This window comes from Homo sapiens, chromosome 2 (assembly GCF_000001405.40).
Source record: "Homo sapiens chromosome 2, GRCh38.p14 Primary Assembly".
NCBI lineage: Eukaryota > Metazoa > Chordata > Mammalia > Primates > Hominidae > Homo > Homo sapiens.
This window is the reverse complement of record NC_000002.12, coordinates 67,274,610-67,290,760: the sequence shown is the minus strand read 5'-3', so window position 1 is coordinate 67,290,760 and position 16,151 is coordinate 67,274,610. Positions and strand designations below refer to the sequence as shown.

The 16,151-nt window shown below is 37.6% G+C and overlaps 1 long non-coding RNA gene across 1 annotated transcript in view; it reads right to left on the bottom strand.

Moving 5' to 3' along the window:
* Positions 1–1,516: 1,516 nt before the first annotated feature.
* The window catches only part of LINC01828 (long intergenic non-protein coding RNA 1828), a 202,799-nt gene continuing 188,164 nt past the window's right edge, over positions 1,517–16,151 (bottom strand). Inside the window, exons 4-5 of the long non-coding RNA NR_110564.1 lie at positions 2,943–3,005; positions 1,517–1,678 (exon numbers count right to left, since the gene is read on the bottom strand). This is a non-coding gene — a long non-coding RNA (long intergenic non-protein coding RNA 1828). The remainder of the gene's footprint in view (positions 1,679–2,942; positions 3,006–16,151) is intronic.

Here is a 16,151-nt window from a genome sequence, read left to right as displayed (position 1 = left end):
ATTTTCTCCAAGATTGAAGCATTGAAGTATGCTATTGCCCATGCTTATTTTATTAGTCACAAGAGGTGTTTTAATAACAAAGATTCAGTCATCACCCAATGACAGTCAGGATTTTAGCTAAGAGATCATAAAAGGAGAGGAAGCAGAATTCTAAATAGAACTAGATATGACATGTCTTCTGGAGAGAAACTATGATAAGAAATGTTGCCTGGACATACAGATTTGTGGCCACTTCGATGACTAAAATGTCCAGTTTTGCTTAACTCTATGAATCATATGACATGATTGCATTTGATTATTATTTCTCTGAATTTTCTTTTATTCTATAAGTGCCTTCCTCCTCCACATTTAACTTGACTACTCTGTTATTTTTATTCTGAGGAATGCATTTAGTTAATCACTACCTCATAGAATGGTTTAACTTGTTTCTCTATTTCCTGTATTTCTTGCACACTAGTTAGATCTAGAGACTTGATTAGATTATGATTCAAATTTATAGTCAATAAGACTCCATTAGAGGTGCTGTGTCCTTCCTATTGCATAATATCCAAAGCACGTAATATTGGGTTAATCAGTGTGTAGCTTCCCAGTATTAGTCACCTGTATTAGTCCATTCTCACATTGCTATGAAGGAATTCCCAAGACTGGGTAATTTATAAAGAAAAGAGGTTTAGTTGACTCACAGTTCCACATGGCTGGGAAGGCCTCAGGAAACTTATAATCATGGCAGAAAGCACTTCTTCATAGGGTGGCAGGAGAATGAGTGCCCAGAGAAGGGGGAAGCCCCTTATAAAACCATCAGATTTCATGAGAACTGACTCACTATCATGAGAGCAGGATGGGGGAAACTGCTCCCATGATTCAATTATCTCCACCTAATCCCTCCCATGCAGGGATATGGGAACTACAATTCAAGATGAGATTTGGGCAGGGATGAAGTGAAACCATATCACCACCCATCATAAAATCTCCCATCAACCTTTCACCTAATGATTTTGGCAGCAATGCATGAAGGCTGCCTTAATCTATTACTTCATTACGGGGCACTAACATCTTTTTCAATGAATGAAATCTATACCAGCTAAAGGTGGAAGGTGAGATGGGCTACAGCTCCTGAGAAATAGCCAAGGACACTGGATGGGGATGGTACAACAGAACAGAGCAAATAACTCAAACGGGCAAGCTTATAAGGCATCATAAACATTTTCTAATATATCTCATAAACCTATTTTCCAGTGTTAGGCAATAGAAAATCTCCAGCCTCCTGGGGAGGTGGCAAAGCCTCAATACAAAGTGACTAAGCTAAAATGAAATGTCAAGGACAGAATGGACCTACCTTTCTTTTCCTTGATGTAGCTTCTAGTGGTGACCAGGTGGTTTCAGTCCATTCAAGTCTCAAGTAAAACTCCAAGTAACGAGGTGACTGTTGCATCTTTTAAAAATGAGTATTGTACACATACTTCTTCCAAGGCAAATACTTAGTCAAAACTAAACAAATTGTAGAGGCCAAATTGTCTTGTTGTTTCTCAGTTTATTTATTTCATAATAACAGCCACCAATACAGGTGGTTTGAATGTTTTCAAAAATAAACAACTACTACCAAAAATAAAACAAAACAGGTTTAGGATCTGTTTCTTGTCCATACTTCTCTCTGTCTTTCTCACTGGGTTCCTTACCTCTGCCATAGAAAAGAGAAAATGATTTGAGTAATTATCCCAAATTTATTTCAATAACTAATAACACTCTGGATGCATAAAACAGGTTAAGTCCGCAAAACTTGCTCTTTCTCAAGGAAGATAGAAATAGTGTCAACATTTCCAATTGCTCTGTTTCCTCAGCACTCCTAGCTCCCTCCCCTGTTTTATGTCCAACGGGCTCTATGTTTTTAGTATGTTTTTTTCTGTCTCCCTTCCCTAGAATTTTTTTTTATTTTTTTCTGTTTTATTCACTGCTTTTCCCCCCAGTGCCTAGAATAGTATCTGACATATAGTGGACACCTAACAAATATTTTAGGAATATTCAGGGCTGTATATGAAATGTACAAATAACATACTCCCTGCCCATTTCTTTAACTCCATATTTGTGTTAGCAAAATGTTCTCAAGTTCTCCTATTTCTATCTTGAGTGTTTAAATAGAACTGCTCAAATCTATTTCCTATGTAACTATAGGAAACCCTGCCACTGGATTGTTTTGTGGATTCCTGGTAGGTGCTTAGATGTTCCATTCATTGTCTGTCCAGTCTCTTCCCAGGCTGTACTACCCCCAAACTGCTCTATTGTTGCCACTGGCCTTCCAGGCAGCACTTCTATAGGCTATGGCTCCTCCTTCTTCCCCAAGCACAGACACAGACTCTTCTTCTATTCCCCAGGTTGTCACAGGAGTCACGTTAGGTTTCCATGGTTAAGCAGCTTTACTGAAGCTTGCAGAGATCACAAAAGCTGTGCAACACACATAGCTCTAGAGCAAGCGCTGGTCATGAAGTCTATTGGTCCTGCTCTATCCCAGGTGAGCCCTCTGGCCAATTTCCCCCTTAGACCTAGGTCTCCTGTGATTTTCTGGGGCCCATGCCCTCACCCATGCCAGAGGCTCCTTTCCTTACTTCTTTCTTTGCTATCTATACACTTAGCTCCTTCCCAAGGCCTGGCCTTAGAATGGCCATAAAATAAGTAATATCAGAGGACTGTTGAAGTTTGGAGACCATTTTACTTAGTTAATATCAGAATAACATCTCTTAAAATCTCTGCCTGTACAAAACACTTATATTTTACATTGCTGCATACTTCCCATAGCTGATGGTTTTTCTTCTAGTTTAGAGTCTAAGTCTTGCCTTTGAAAACCCAAAGAGCCCCATTAAAGAATTTTCTCAAAGCAAAATGAACCATTCCCCATTTGATATATTCTGCTGCCACTTTTAGAGTGTGACGTGGTATACTTACTTTACCTTTGGGTTACCTCTGGAGAGCAGAAACTGAGACAAAGACTTTTTTCTCTTTCAGAAGTTGTTCTAGGAAATAAGAGATAAGACTGCAAGACAGAAACAATTCAAGGGTGCATTTTTGAGCCAGCTGTCAATATGAGTAATGAGCTTGATCCCACTGGCACTTTCTAAGGAGTTGTCAGACAGACTCCAGAATTGTCCCAGAGAATGGGAGGAGAAAGCCTTTATCGATCAGCTTCTTGTGGTGACAGAATGAACTCCCAACACTTGTGACTTCCCATGTGTGAATGCCAGGCCCCTGTCACTGTGTCAGCGGACCTCTCTATGCCATATGGCTGCAGGAGGCACTGCAGGCTCTCCCTGTGCAAGACTGGCTGCCACTGCTGTGACTGGGGTACAAGGTGGGCTGGGAGCATAGAAGATGGTACCCCAAGTTGTTCAATATAAAATCTAACACTGGGCAGGGACTCAGAAATCCTGGGTTTGCAATCCTACTCTGCACCATTACTGGTTGCATGACCTTGGACCAATTCCTTTACTTCTCTGAGGCTATGTTTATTCACAAATGGAGAATGCCCCCAAATAATAAATAAATAATACAATTAAAAAATTAAAACAATTTATTTTACTATTAATTTATTTCAAAACTTAAAAATTACTAAAATAAATAATAACAAATAACATCAAAGAATTATTGAAATTTGGAGATCATTTACCTAAGATACAAAACAGAGGAATCAAACACTCAGTAGGTTCCTCAATTAGAGTAGCTACTATTATCATATAAAATTTAATTTAAAAAGATCATTGAATGACAACCTGAATTAAACTCAAGAAAATATGAACTATTTCTTTGGCAAGCAGCCTTCCTTGGAAGAGGATGCTGCTCTTTAATGGGGGAGGTGGGTTCCTACATTTGCATTTTTCTTTATGTGAGTTATGTGAGGCGTAGGTCCCCTATTGCCTGAGGAGGGTCTTGAAAACATGGACACAGATGTACCCAAAACATGGTGGCATGCTTGTGCGTCAAGATGTGTACCCACCCACCCTGTGGAATGCTGGGGACATAACACAAAGGCATGCTTTGGGCTGTAAAGGAGGGAAACAGGAGTAGTGATGTGATAATGATCCTTCCTAAAGGAGAAAAATCTATTTAGTAAAGCCAACCAAAACCAAGGCTGTAGACATTTTCACTTTAGAACAGCGTGGTTGTCAGCACTCTCTGATGGGTATTCGTGACAATTTTGGCAACAAAGGCAAGGAATTTGACTGAAGTTTCTAATTGAATTTTGAAAGATGGTTGATCCTTCCAGGAAGTAAGAAATTGATGGAAATGTCATTGAAGTTTGTCTGAACACATCCAGACACAAAGCCCATCAAGATACACCTGGGCAAATCTAGATTCCTTCCTCAAAACCTCAAAATGTTATCATGCGAGGCATCAACAGAGCTGCCAAGCCAAGGAGAAACACATCCACCAAATCCTGCAGAAAGTTTTATCTTGTCAGAAATTCCAGGGAAATTGTGAAATAAAAATAAGCACCACATATTCTTTAAGAATTATTGAGTATTAGAAATACTAAAAATTATTATCGTTTTAGTAACTAAAAAAACCCACTAATTCAAGACTCCTATAGCCTATAAATGTAAAATAAAAACAACAAAATAGAAGACTCAGCTTTTGTTAACACATTTAGGTTTGCATGAAATTACATCCTTTAGGAAAAGGACAATTGACATTGTTTTTAATGACTGGTCATAGCAAGATGCCTGTGGTCATTTCTCTCACTAGATAAAAACACTTTGTTAAAGTCTGGCTCTTTAGGTGACTCTGGAACCAACACAGTTATTTGAGATATGCTTGGGCTAGTTTATGTCATTTCTGTAATTATTTATTTTTTTCTGTAATTCTTTATTATTACTTTATTTAAGAAGGTCTGTGTCAACTAAGTGGACGCATATTAGCACTAAATATTTACAGAATATTTATTAGTTTTCAGGGTTCTCTTATGGTTGTTAATCTCATGCTGACATGTCTTGATATTTCAATTTAAATTGTCTATGTGTGTTTATGTAGATGCAATCCATGTGCATATGCATACATCTCTGGTAGAACATATAAATAGGGAAACCTCAGGAGGCCATCTTATCCACAAGATATTGTTCCAGTGGAATCTGGAAAACTCCTTTTCTGCCCCTATGCTCTTCTTCAACCAGTAACGCTCAAAATGACACCCTTGATGATTCATTGCTTTGGCTCAAGTGTTAGTCCTTTGTAACTCCCCCAGTAGAGTGATACCTACAGTCATGTCAGACATTGAGGATGTACGAGCCAGTTTTCCAGAAATGTTTAATTTGAAGGAGGTGAGCATCTTGGGAGGACACTGGGAACCCAGAGGGCAATGTTGGAGTTACCATGGAAAGATGGAAGGTGGTAAAGGACCCAGAGAGAAGAAACTGGGAGCACCTAGGAACCACTGTGCCCACAGTGGGCCCTCTGCATAACTCTAAGGGTATGTAAATTGGAAACTGTGAAACTCATGAAGATTTCATTTGTTATCCCTTCCCAACAGCAACCTTGCCCTCAATGGCATATATAAAGGCAGAAGGCAAATATCACTCTTGGGAGGATGACGACATAGAGCAGGAGGAAGTCCCCATGGCCTGACCAAGAGGGGAAATAAAAGACAGCTCTTCTGGTTCTCAGGGACTGTGGAAAGAAAGGTCAGAGGTAGGAACTAGGCTTCTGAGCTTTCTAAAACAGGCTGAAGCAGAGTGCCAGGCAAGGCATGGGCTGGCTTGCCAACACAAGAGGCTGGGTGTTCCCAGGATATTGAATGTGAAACATGTAGATTCAGCCAGCACCCAAACACCATGTGAGACCCTGAAGCAGATGGCACTCCAAAAGCTAGAGTGATACCCACCATGAGGGCCTATACCCCCACACCAATCAGGGAAAATGATGGATGGGGAAAGAAACAGCTTTCACTGGAGGCTAAACTGTTAAAATGAGAAGAAATGGGATGGAGGTACTTGAGGAATTTTAGGTCGGCCATAGAAAATAAAGATACCACCATTTTCTAGCACACTTGAATATTGTATGGGTAAATTTGTAGCAGCAATAATAATTTTCAAGAGAAATATACAATTTTGGGGGATCTTATCTATGCCATTGTTTAGGTGCTCCAATGAGGGGGAATTTTTCCCTATCCTTGTTCCAGGAGAAAATTCTAATGCTTTCCTGTCTTTCTCAATGGGTAGAAATGGTAAATCAACCTTATGTGAACTGTTTCTCTTTTTCACAAGACATTTAATTTTGTGAGATCAGATGAGAGTCTCCTGCTCATGTTGAGTATATAGTAGCTTTGGTGGCTATTTCATTATCATATCCAAATTATGAGTTTTTATTAAAAATAATTTATCTCTGCCTAGAAAATACTCCCAGGAACTTGGGAAACTCTCAGCCCTTTGGAACTGCTAATTCTGATAACCAGGCCAGTCCTACAATGGCATGTTTTGGGATTGAGGCATGCATTCTAGGTAAAAGCAAGATGTTAGCCATCTTCTGAATAGTCCTATTGATGGAGGCCTTGGGCTCCCTATCTTTAATGCCTGTGGCTTGGGCGTATGGTAGTGGGTGGCAATAAAAGTTACTTGAGATGTCACATTATACAAAATAATAACGACTTTTAAAAAAGGTGTAAATTGAAATGAAAAGTCTACAACTCTGAAGTTTTAAGACAAGCTAGGCAATATAAATAATCAAAATATCATTTGTCTTCAGTGTGAGTCCTAATTCTAAACAGCTTACACATTTTCAAGTCAGAGTTACAGGAAAAATATTGATAGCTAAATAAACAGGGTGAGTACATGATTAATGTTTTAAAATAGTAAACACTTCACATTTGTAGCATTCCTTTAACAGATTGATCTCAGAGACCTTGTTTTCATTCCTGCTTTGCAATCTGTGTTTTGTTTATTTATTCTCTTCATGTTGAATTCCTCTCTTTTAATTTACCTTTCATCTTAATTTACTCTAGGGGGCAAAGTGAAAGTGTCTAAAATAAGTGAAAAATCTAAAACAATTAGAAAATTTAAGATGTAGCAATAATCAACTCTAAGAATGTAACTGCCCTTTTTCAGCAGGATAAATTGTGGGCCATAAAAATATACTATTATTAGCTCTTTTCTTTAGACTTGTAAAGACTCCTACAGCTGCATTTTATATTTCTAACAAAGATATAAAATTATCCAGGAGAATGTAGAGGCTAAGAAGTGGTGGAATCTTTTTTTGCTTATTACCTTAGGAATGAAATAAAAATATGATAATGAGGGGCTCTGGCAGGGATTTCCCCTCACAGACCCCAATAGTCTTGTCCAAGATGTGCACATGTTGTCTGATATTGGGTGTGGAACAAAATTTGATCACAGACCTATTAGAAAAACAAATTGAGAAACATATATATTATTCCTGTAGTTTTTACAAATCAGAAAAGAAGATGTTCTAGAAGCTATTCAGAGATAATGCTTCAACCAGGTTGGATCTCACATCTGCTCCAACTGGAGATTTTAATCTACTCTTTGGGTGGAGAAGCTAAAAAGTCCATGCAAAAAGCTGTGAGGGGATTGTTAAACTCAAATGCTGAACATGAAGGCACATTCAAAAATATGTTGGCCACACTACCCTATGGGAGAAGGATAGGCATACATGATGTTGACAATTTGTTGGAGATAAGACAAGTAGATCCTGGCTACTCAAAATAATTTCCCTGGGTAGAAATTTAGATCCCTTCTACAAGCTGAGATGGGCCTGCAACACAAATATAGGTCACTGTCACTCATGGGGATTATCCAATGTAAGGATGGACCAGCTATACACAGAATGTATATCTTTCTGATTCTTCTTTTCTTCAGTGATATTCCTTCCTGGAATAATGCCAATGTATTTTTGTGTTGCTAATCACCCACCAAGACCAAAGGCTTATTTTGGGAGGTAGAAAATATCTGTTTATGATCCAGCAATTCGTTATTTTTCTATTTAGTGTCATAATTTCTCTGTAACTAAAGCTGATTTTTATTTCTTAAAAATCAAGAGCCCATAGAAAAATACAACCATGTTGGCCAGAGTCAGAGCTACCCTGAGCCTGCCACTTCCCCACAAGAGCAGTAACCACAAAGGACATTTGGGTTCCAGGCTACTCCTCACAGGAGAGTCCTTGTGATGCTTCTAGGAGGTGCTTCAGAAATAATTTTCAGGGGAAATTATCAAGAAGATAAATGATCTGACTGCACTGTGTGTTTGGATCACGGTGCCTGGGTTGCATATGTTGCTTCGACAATGTACGCATAATTTAAGATGCTAAATCCTTTGGAACTGCCGTGGTAGTATTGCAGAGATTTTTATAGGGTCAGCATTGTGTCTACAAGTAAATCAGGAACACAATTGCTTTTGTAAAGCAATGACCGAGACTGGAAGATCAGAGACAGTCAGCAAAATCAAAATAGCACTCCTCCCACCAGGGGCCTGATGTTTCAAACATTTCAAAACAGCGCCTAATATTTTGCAAATCTTTGCTTTAACTATAAATATGCTTTCTCCCTGGAGTTAAGATCAGGGAAAATCCCACAGGACCTCATAGCTACTTTAAAAAAAAAAAATACTGGACATAGAGTTGAAATTCCTTTGTTAGAAACAAAAAGAACCCACCCCCCCCCCCAAATCTTTTTATTCTCTAAGCAAGCTTTAGTTATTTCATGTAATTATGACCTTGCCAAGTTTGAATTTCAACTGGGATGATGTAGTTTATAGGGGGAAAATAGTTGTATTCATGATAGCAGGATATATTAAGACTGATAATATAGTCCATTATCTTGTTCTCTTTATGTTTTCATCATGTATTCCAAATATACTAGCATCTAGGCAACCAATATATTTCCTAGTATTTTTTTGACAAATAACAGCTTTCTGATGATTTGAACAATAATGAAACACCCACACATAATTTCTCACCATGCCATTGGTACTCTCGGTATATACATTTTAAATTAAGCGCCATGTAGCATTGCATCATTTTCTAACCTGTGAACTGTAGTGCTAAGTGGTTGAAGCAAAATCTTTCTGATTAATCAGATCTTATTTAATAAATGATATTATCTTTGACCACTCTTTTGGTGTGGAGGCTTTTTATTTGACACGAGGGCGAAAGAACCTCCTCGTGTCATCTCTGGCATATTTGCTTCTCCCTTCCAAGCCTAGCAGGGCCAGGTCTTCTGCCCTGGCATATGAGGTCTAAAACAAAATTCACAGAAATCAAACCTCAGTTCCGCCATTCCTTGATGTCCTCCCAGGTGAGCTCCTGGGCTTCATGCTCATACTTCTAAAGCAAGCAAACTTTAAGCTAATTATGTGCTAGTGTATTCTCCCTTGCTGAATTTTGGCAGGTTGCTTCTGTAAATTATGAAAAATAAATGTGAAATATGCAGATGTCTTTTGTTTGAAGCAGATGTTTGGTCCATCTTGCCAGAATCCAATCAGCTGTTCCCCTGGGGGTCTTCCCCCGACAACATTATCCCAGAGCAACTCAGGAACATGAAGGGATGATCAGAATAGCACTTCACAGGCCTTTGCAGAAGATTCTGGACTTAGAGTTCTCTGTTAAGGAGAATTAAAAATAGAAATATCCCAATCTATAGGAATCAGATTGTCTCTGGTAAAAGACACTGGATTCGGAGTGATGTTCTCTGGTGGTGTACAGTAGAATGGGATAAGGGTGGGCTCAGTGTTGCAGTGGTATTCTTGAGGAGGGCTGCCTTTAATTCTGCCATATTGACAATTTATAATAATACCTTGGGATCTTACAGTGACATTTCTGCCAGTGCAGCTCACACCAGGGTCCAGTGTGTCCTCCTACCAAAATCTCACCTTAGACAGTGGATTCTACGATTCAAAAGGAAGTGGACACATGACCACTATGTGGCTAATTGATTGAGTTTACACAGCTATACAGAATACTTCAATTGAAAGATCCCTTTATTGATATATAGCAAGATGACAGGAAAATTAAAATATTTAGGGCCAAGTATACTATATTGAAGATGAAATCTCTCTACTTGCTGATTCAGGGACTCTATCTCATGGGACCCTAGTTTTACTGTGAAATCTGGGTAAAAAGACTTATTAAGAGTAAAATATTTGCATAGGTATAACATATATGTATAAGTTTAAACAAATAATTCTGTAGGCCACATTAGTAAATGTTTTGCATTATCATAGCCATCAATCAGTTTCCACTTTCATGAAGTCTGTTAAGCAAAAATAGTTGTACGGTCCTCCAGGGTCCATGGAAAAAAAACTTTAGAGCTGGTGGATGTTGAGGTTGCAGGTGGCAGGTATCTTAAATGACTTTAACCCAGAAGGTGGAGATGGACACTCATTCCAGACTCTGCTGACCACTAGCATATGACTTTGGGCAAGTTATTTAATTGCTCATAGTCTCAGTTTCTTCATCATGATAATATCTACTATAGAGAATTTGTTTAGTGAGACAGTGTAAGTCAAGTACTTAGAGTCTGTGCCTGACACATTATTGGGCAAAAACTTGATCACTGAGAGCTAATTCTGTAATTTTCCTGTTCACTTTCCACCACTTCTCAATGGGGATGTATTTTATGTATGTATGTGTTTACATGTATATTTATTTACTTTTACCTAATGCATGTCTTTTGTATGGCAAGGTGAACACATTTCCTTTGCATCTATTTGCAGCAGAGTTGAGGAGTCACTCCCCTGCCAACATCTGCTTCATTATAGACATCACATAGGATGCTATCTGACATTTGCAGTCTCCCTTTAATTTATGCCTTTTGAGTAATAAATTTGTTTCCTTAACTTTTACTCATGGGTCCTATCTCCAACACTGTTTCTCTCTTCTCAATCCACTTCAAAACTCCAAGTTCTTTTTTAACTGCAAAGCTTCATAGTGTTTTAAGGATCTGAGTGATATGAATATAATGAGATATTTTATACTTAGTATTTATTGAGCACCAACTGTGTGACAGGTTCTGAAAATAGTAAGTGTGAACAAGACAGACAAGGGCTCTTTTCTGATGGATCTTTCCTTCTGGTAGGGTAAATAGGGAACATCTCACTGCCTCTGTACCTGAAGCCTTTACTCATGCTTTTCAGAATCGTATACCGTGGCTTTTTTCTTAGTAACAGCATGATAGAGTACATATATGTATTTTATTTGTATGCCTTGAGGCTTGCTGTGCTATTCAGGGACATTTTTACCACGTGCATAAGACCATTACAACTGGTTAAAAGTAAAAAGTTTGATTAAATAATTGATTATTATTTTCTTCCTGACACCAAATAAAATTAATCAGTTACTATGGCAATGTATAGACACCACCCTACTGAGCATTTATTTTGCAAAGCACTTTGTTATCTATCCTAGAAAAATCTATCTTCTGAATCTATTCACCAAACCACCTAAAGGAAAAGAGCATAAGGAGAGAATTATATATATAAAAAAAGGAAAGAGATGGCCTGTAGCCTCAGGGGTGTTAATTTTAAATTGATGATATAAAATCTACAGGCTAAAAATAACAATAACTTATGATGTTAAAAATAACATTTCCACATTATTCATCTAATACCTATGTTCATAAATATGGATGGGTAATAGTGCTCATCTTATATACTATTGTTTGAGGGATTAAACGAGATAGATACGCAAGAATTTTATGAACCTAGAGAAGTGCGCAATTATTAGGTGACATATTGCCAACTGCATGAAGAACATAGGTGGGGCTTCTTATTCCTCTTTCACATAAAATAAACTGAATCGCAGACGAATCAAACAATGTATCTAAGCCTGTACAAACAATAAACCTCAGGACTTAACTGTGAGCCTAGGTCTTCTGACTCTACTATACCTAACTTTCAAATGATTTATGAATAATTAAAAAGCTACATAACAATGAAACCATATTAATGAAATATAGACATGATACATAAGTATTTGAGACATATAAAGAAGAAAAGCAGAGTTAATTAGGAAGGCTTCATGGGAGAGCCTATTCATTTTGAAGGAGGTGGGACTTGGATTAATCTGTGTATTCTATTGTATATATTGTATGTACTGTAGTCTTCCTAATTCCTCACTTGTGGCTCTATTTTAAATTTAGATTTATGATTCATAATTATTTTTTTAACTTGGAAGGTATTTGCCTTGTAGTCCAGCATTTATTCTCCCTCAAGGACCAAATCTCATGTCCTGAGAAGGTATCCCTGGCCAAGGAGTAGCCTCATGTGAAACAGAGGTGAGGTACAGCCCACAGCAGGTGTCAACAGCTTTCCCACTCACCGTTTAGAGGGGATTCCAAATAGTGATTCAGAGCTCAAAGGTACTATGAACCATGGGCAACCCCTTAAGAAATTAAAATTTCATATTCCTGGCCATTTTTAATTGCAATTTTCCTAGGAAAAATAGAAAGTTCTAAAATAGACATCATACCAATAACAATAATAATATAATATTTTTTGTAGATCTACATCCAGAGTTAAAGGGAATATATTTTAAAGACATCACTAAAGCATTTATCTAGCTTTAACTGCCTCATCAAAGAATATTATTTTTAAAAAAGAAGCCTCATAAAGATGTATGAATATATAGACCTATGATTATTCAAAAAAATTGTACAAATCAAAATAAATTTGCCAGAGCAATTTAAAATAATTAACCTTTGACAAACCTCCCTCTCTGGTAATGGAATAGTAACTATATGAATAAAAGATAAGTCATGACATTCAATGAATTACAATATTCATCCCATAAATTACTTGATATAATAGCTCTATAGTCTACATTTTTATAACACGAAAATGTCCCAAACACTAAAGAACCCATTCATTTCCAGCGTGTGATTTGCAGATGGGTTGGGTAATTTCTTTTGCTTTCTTCAGATATCCTTCAATTAAGTCTTTACTATTATTTTCCTCCCAAAATATACTTCCTGTCAGCCTGTCAACCATTTTTGCGGTACGTACACCTGGTAGCATTGAGGCTAGTGCTCACCGCCTAGAGTAGCTCAGGAAAATAAGTGAGTGCTACCCTGATTTGCGTGCTGGGTGGGGTGATTACCCGGCCAGCACTGCCACCTGGCTGATGGCCACATTTCAGAGTCCCGGTAGCCCAGGCACTTCTGCTTACTTGTGTGCCCTTTGGACAAGGGAGACAAGAACTCCCTGTTCTGTCTCCACTTCCTTGAGATAAAAGAGCAGCCGTCATCTGCTTTGCCAGGGTAAACTGAAGCCATCTTTGACCACATAAAGATGATTATAGACCCCAGAGCAAAGTATCAGTGCTACATAATGATAACTAGAAGGTGTTTGTTGGCATATACAAATCTCAGGATGGCAGGATAGATGCAAAATGCCCAAAGATTTTTGGTCCAAAATGTGTTGCAATTTTAAACAAAGAATGGAAATGTATGGCAAGAGCCTATCTCCTGAGAAATGGATGCATCCCTGGCTGCTCATTTTGCCCATTAAGTACAAGATTTGCTAATCATCTAGGGGTGACCAGATTCCTTCAACTCTTCCAAGCCATTTGCTTGGAAAGTGAACAAAATGGACCATGAAGGTGGTGCTCGTTTCTAATTCAATGTGTATGCCTCCCCAGTGTCTTTCTAATGCATTCACATCACAGCAGAATGCATCTATACTAACATATCATTTAAATTTTCATTATCTTTGCTCTCTTAATCATAGTCCGGATTCAGTTATACTATAATAAAACCAGGCACATTTACTGAGCACTTACTATGTATCAGATAATGGGTCAAGTCCTACACATATATTTAATTCTTTCCACAACTCATAAGGTAGGTTCTAGTTTCATTCCCATTTTGCATAAGGAAATGGAAGCTTAGAGTCACAGTGGTGTGCCTAATGGAATATGCTGTGCTTCCCCAGATACACCGTGCCCTCTAGCTACCCAGATTCAGGACCTTCACAGAAGGGTTATCTTCACAGATAGGGTTATCTTTTCTAACTCTGGAGTTGTAGCTGTAGATAATGGTAGTCACAATTCCATACAGAGCAGGGGCTCATTTGGATTCTCTTTCATCCCAAAGTCACAGAAGTAGGTGAGTAGGGCTCCTGCTAATTCCAGTCCTCCCACTTGGTCCTGATGCTACAGAACCACTCCTGAGCAAATGGTGCACAGTGCCCATTGCTGTGTTGTCTTTTGGACAAGGTACTTATTGGAACCAAATAGTACCTTCTATTTCTCTCTCTTTTTTTGTGAAAGATCACATGTATAAAAGAAAGGACATATGAAAAATAAGTCTTTAATTCACAGCCCAAACTATTGCTTCCTAGTTTGAGAAGCTTACTAGTATCTGGTCCATGCAGTTGGATATACTTTTATGTTTTATTTAAGAAATCCAGAGTGATTTCATTTTCTTCTTCTTTGGACCTTTTTTTTTTTTTTTTTTTCTTTTTCTTTGGAGGTCACCATTTCTGAGCTGGAAAGTTAGGACTCATTGGATGATCATGAATACATAAGAAGGTAGAAATCGGTGAAGGGCCCACTATTAACCTATCATTTAGAAATGATTTTCATGGGTCATTTATTAAGAGCCCATGGAAAGAGTTCTGCAAAGATCCCTGAAAGAAATGCAGCTCTTGCCCAGTCATCACCTTTTACGGTTGAGAAAGTTGAAGCTCAGAGAAATTATAAACTCCACCAAGTTTTGTACAGGTTAGTAGCAGAGTCTAAAGTCTGCTGTTTTACCCTTATTTTGGTGTTCCTTTAACACGTATTATTGTACATCTACTGTCCTAGGAACTGAGCAAATTACATTTGTTGTTTACCCCAAACTTTGATATTAGGAAAGAAAAAAACATGTATCTTAAAACAACGAAAGGAAGATCTGTTTCCTTTTTCATCTTTTGTGCATTTGCCCTTTTTCTAGTTTCTTAAGTTTAATGTTTCTTTTTTAGTAACCTATAGGACATTGCACTAGGCCTGAAGGAGAAAGAACATTTTGGGCTGCAGTGACAAGAAAGTGATAGTTTAATGCAAGGTTCCCCCAAAATGTTATGAGAAGCTTCTATTTTACATTTTATTTTCATTGTTGGTTTTTTGTTTTTAAAGATGGTGAGTGGGGCAAAAGTGAAATTTCCACTGAAGTGAATTTTGGTCTTTTTTACTGTGATTCATGGTAAGAAAAAGTTATATATTATAACTTAGCATATATCTAATATATATACATACAGACACATACATATATATACACACATATAGTTATAACTGAAACATGAAAAGTGTCATGAAATATACTCACGTAAGAATAAAAACAGTAAATTTAACATCAAATATGATTTTATTAATATTCAAATACTGTAAGATGTGTCACCCTTTTTATTCTACTCTATTTCATTTTTTTTTAAGGTAAACAAAGCTCAGTAAATTAACCAAAGCAATTTGGGCAAATGTTTCAATTCTCCATTTAATTTTGTTTGTAAAAATACAGAAAGGTCAGGTGACCAGTGAATTTTGGTCTGGGTTAGCCCTCTATCTCAGACTGAGAGATTTGCCATTTAAATGCTAAGGGTACAGAGGGAAATCTATCCCTAATTTATTTTTTGCCTTCAAATTTCCTGAAATCCAGTCATGTGAGTAATCTTGAGCGATAACTGAACCTCTCTGAACTTTCATCACACCTGTTAAATGAGGGGCAGGTATACATGACTCTCATGATCCCTTCCAGCTTCAAAAGTGTGTGATTCCATGGTATTTTTTTATTTGATACCTGGATACTTGTGAAAACAAAGTCCTCTCAAATGTATTCTATGCATAAACTAAGAATTTCTAGAACCACAAATGTATTCCTCTTGAAGTTACTCTAAAATGTTGACAGATGTGAAAGTGAGCATTATCGAATGCTTAGTTTTACATTTGCATTCAGATCTGTTGTTTCAATGGGGACATTTTTATAAAATAAAAATGTGTTACTGCTGTTCTTGGAATTCTCCTGGTTCCACAGCAGATTTAATTAGCTTAAGCACTGTCTTCTTCTGTGCACTTTGGTTTTGGGAGGCTTTGCCATTGTTAGCTTTGTGGTATCCCAGGGAGAGAGAGGTCCAGTTTTTCACTGGAATAATATTACGACTGTAGTGCCTCTATTTGTGTGAGAGAATTA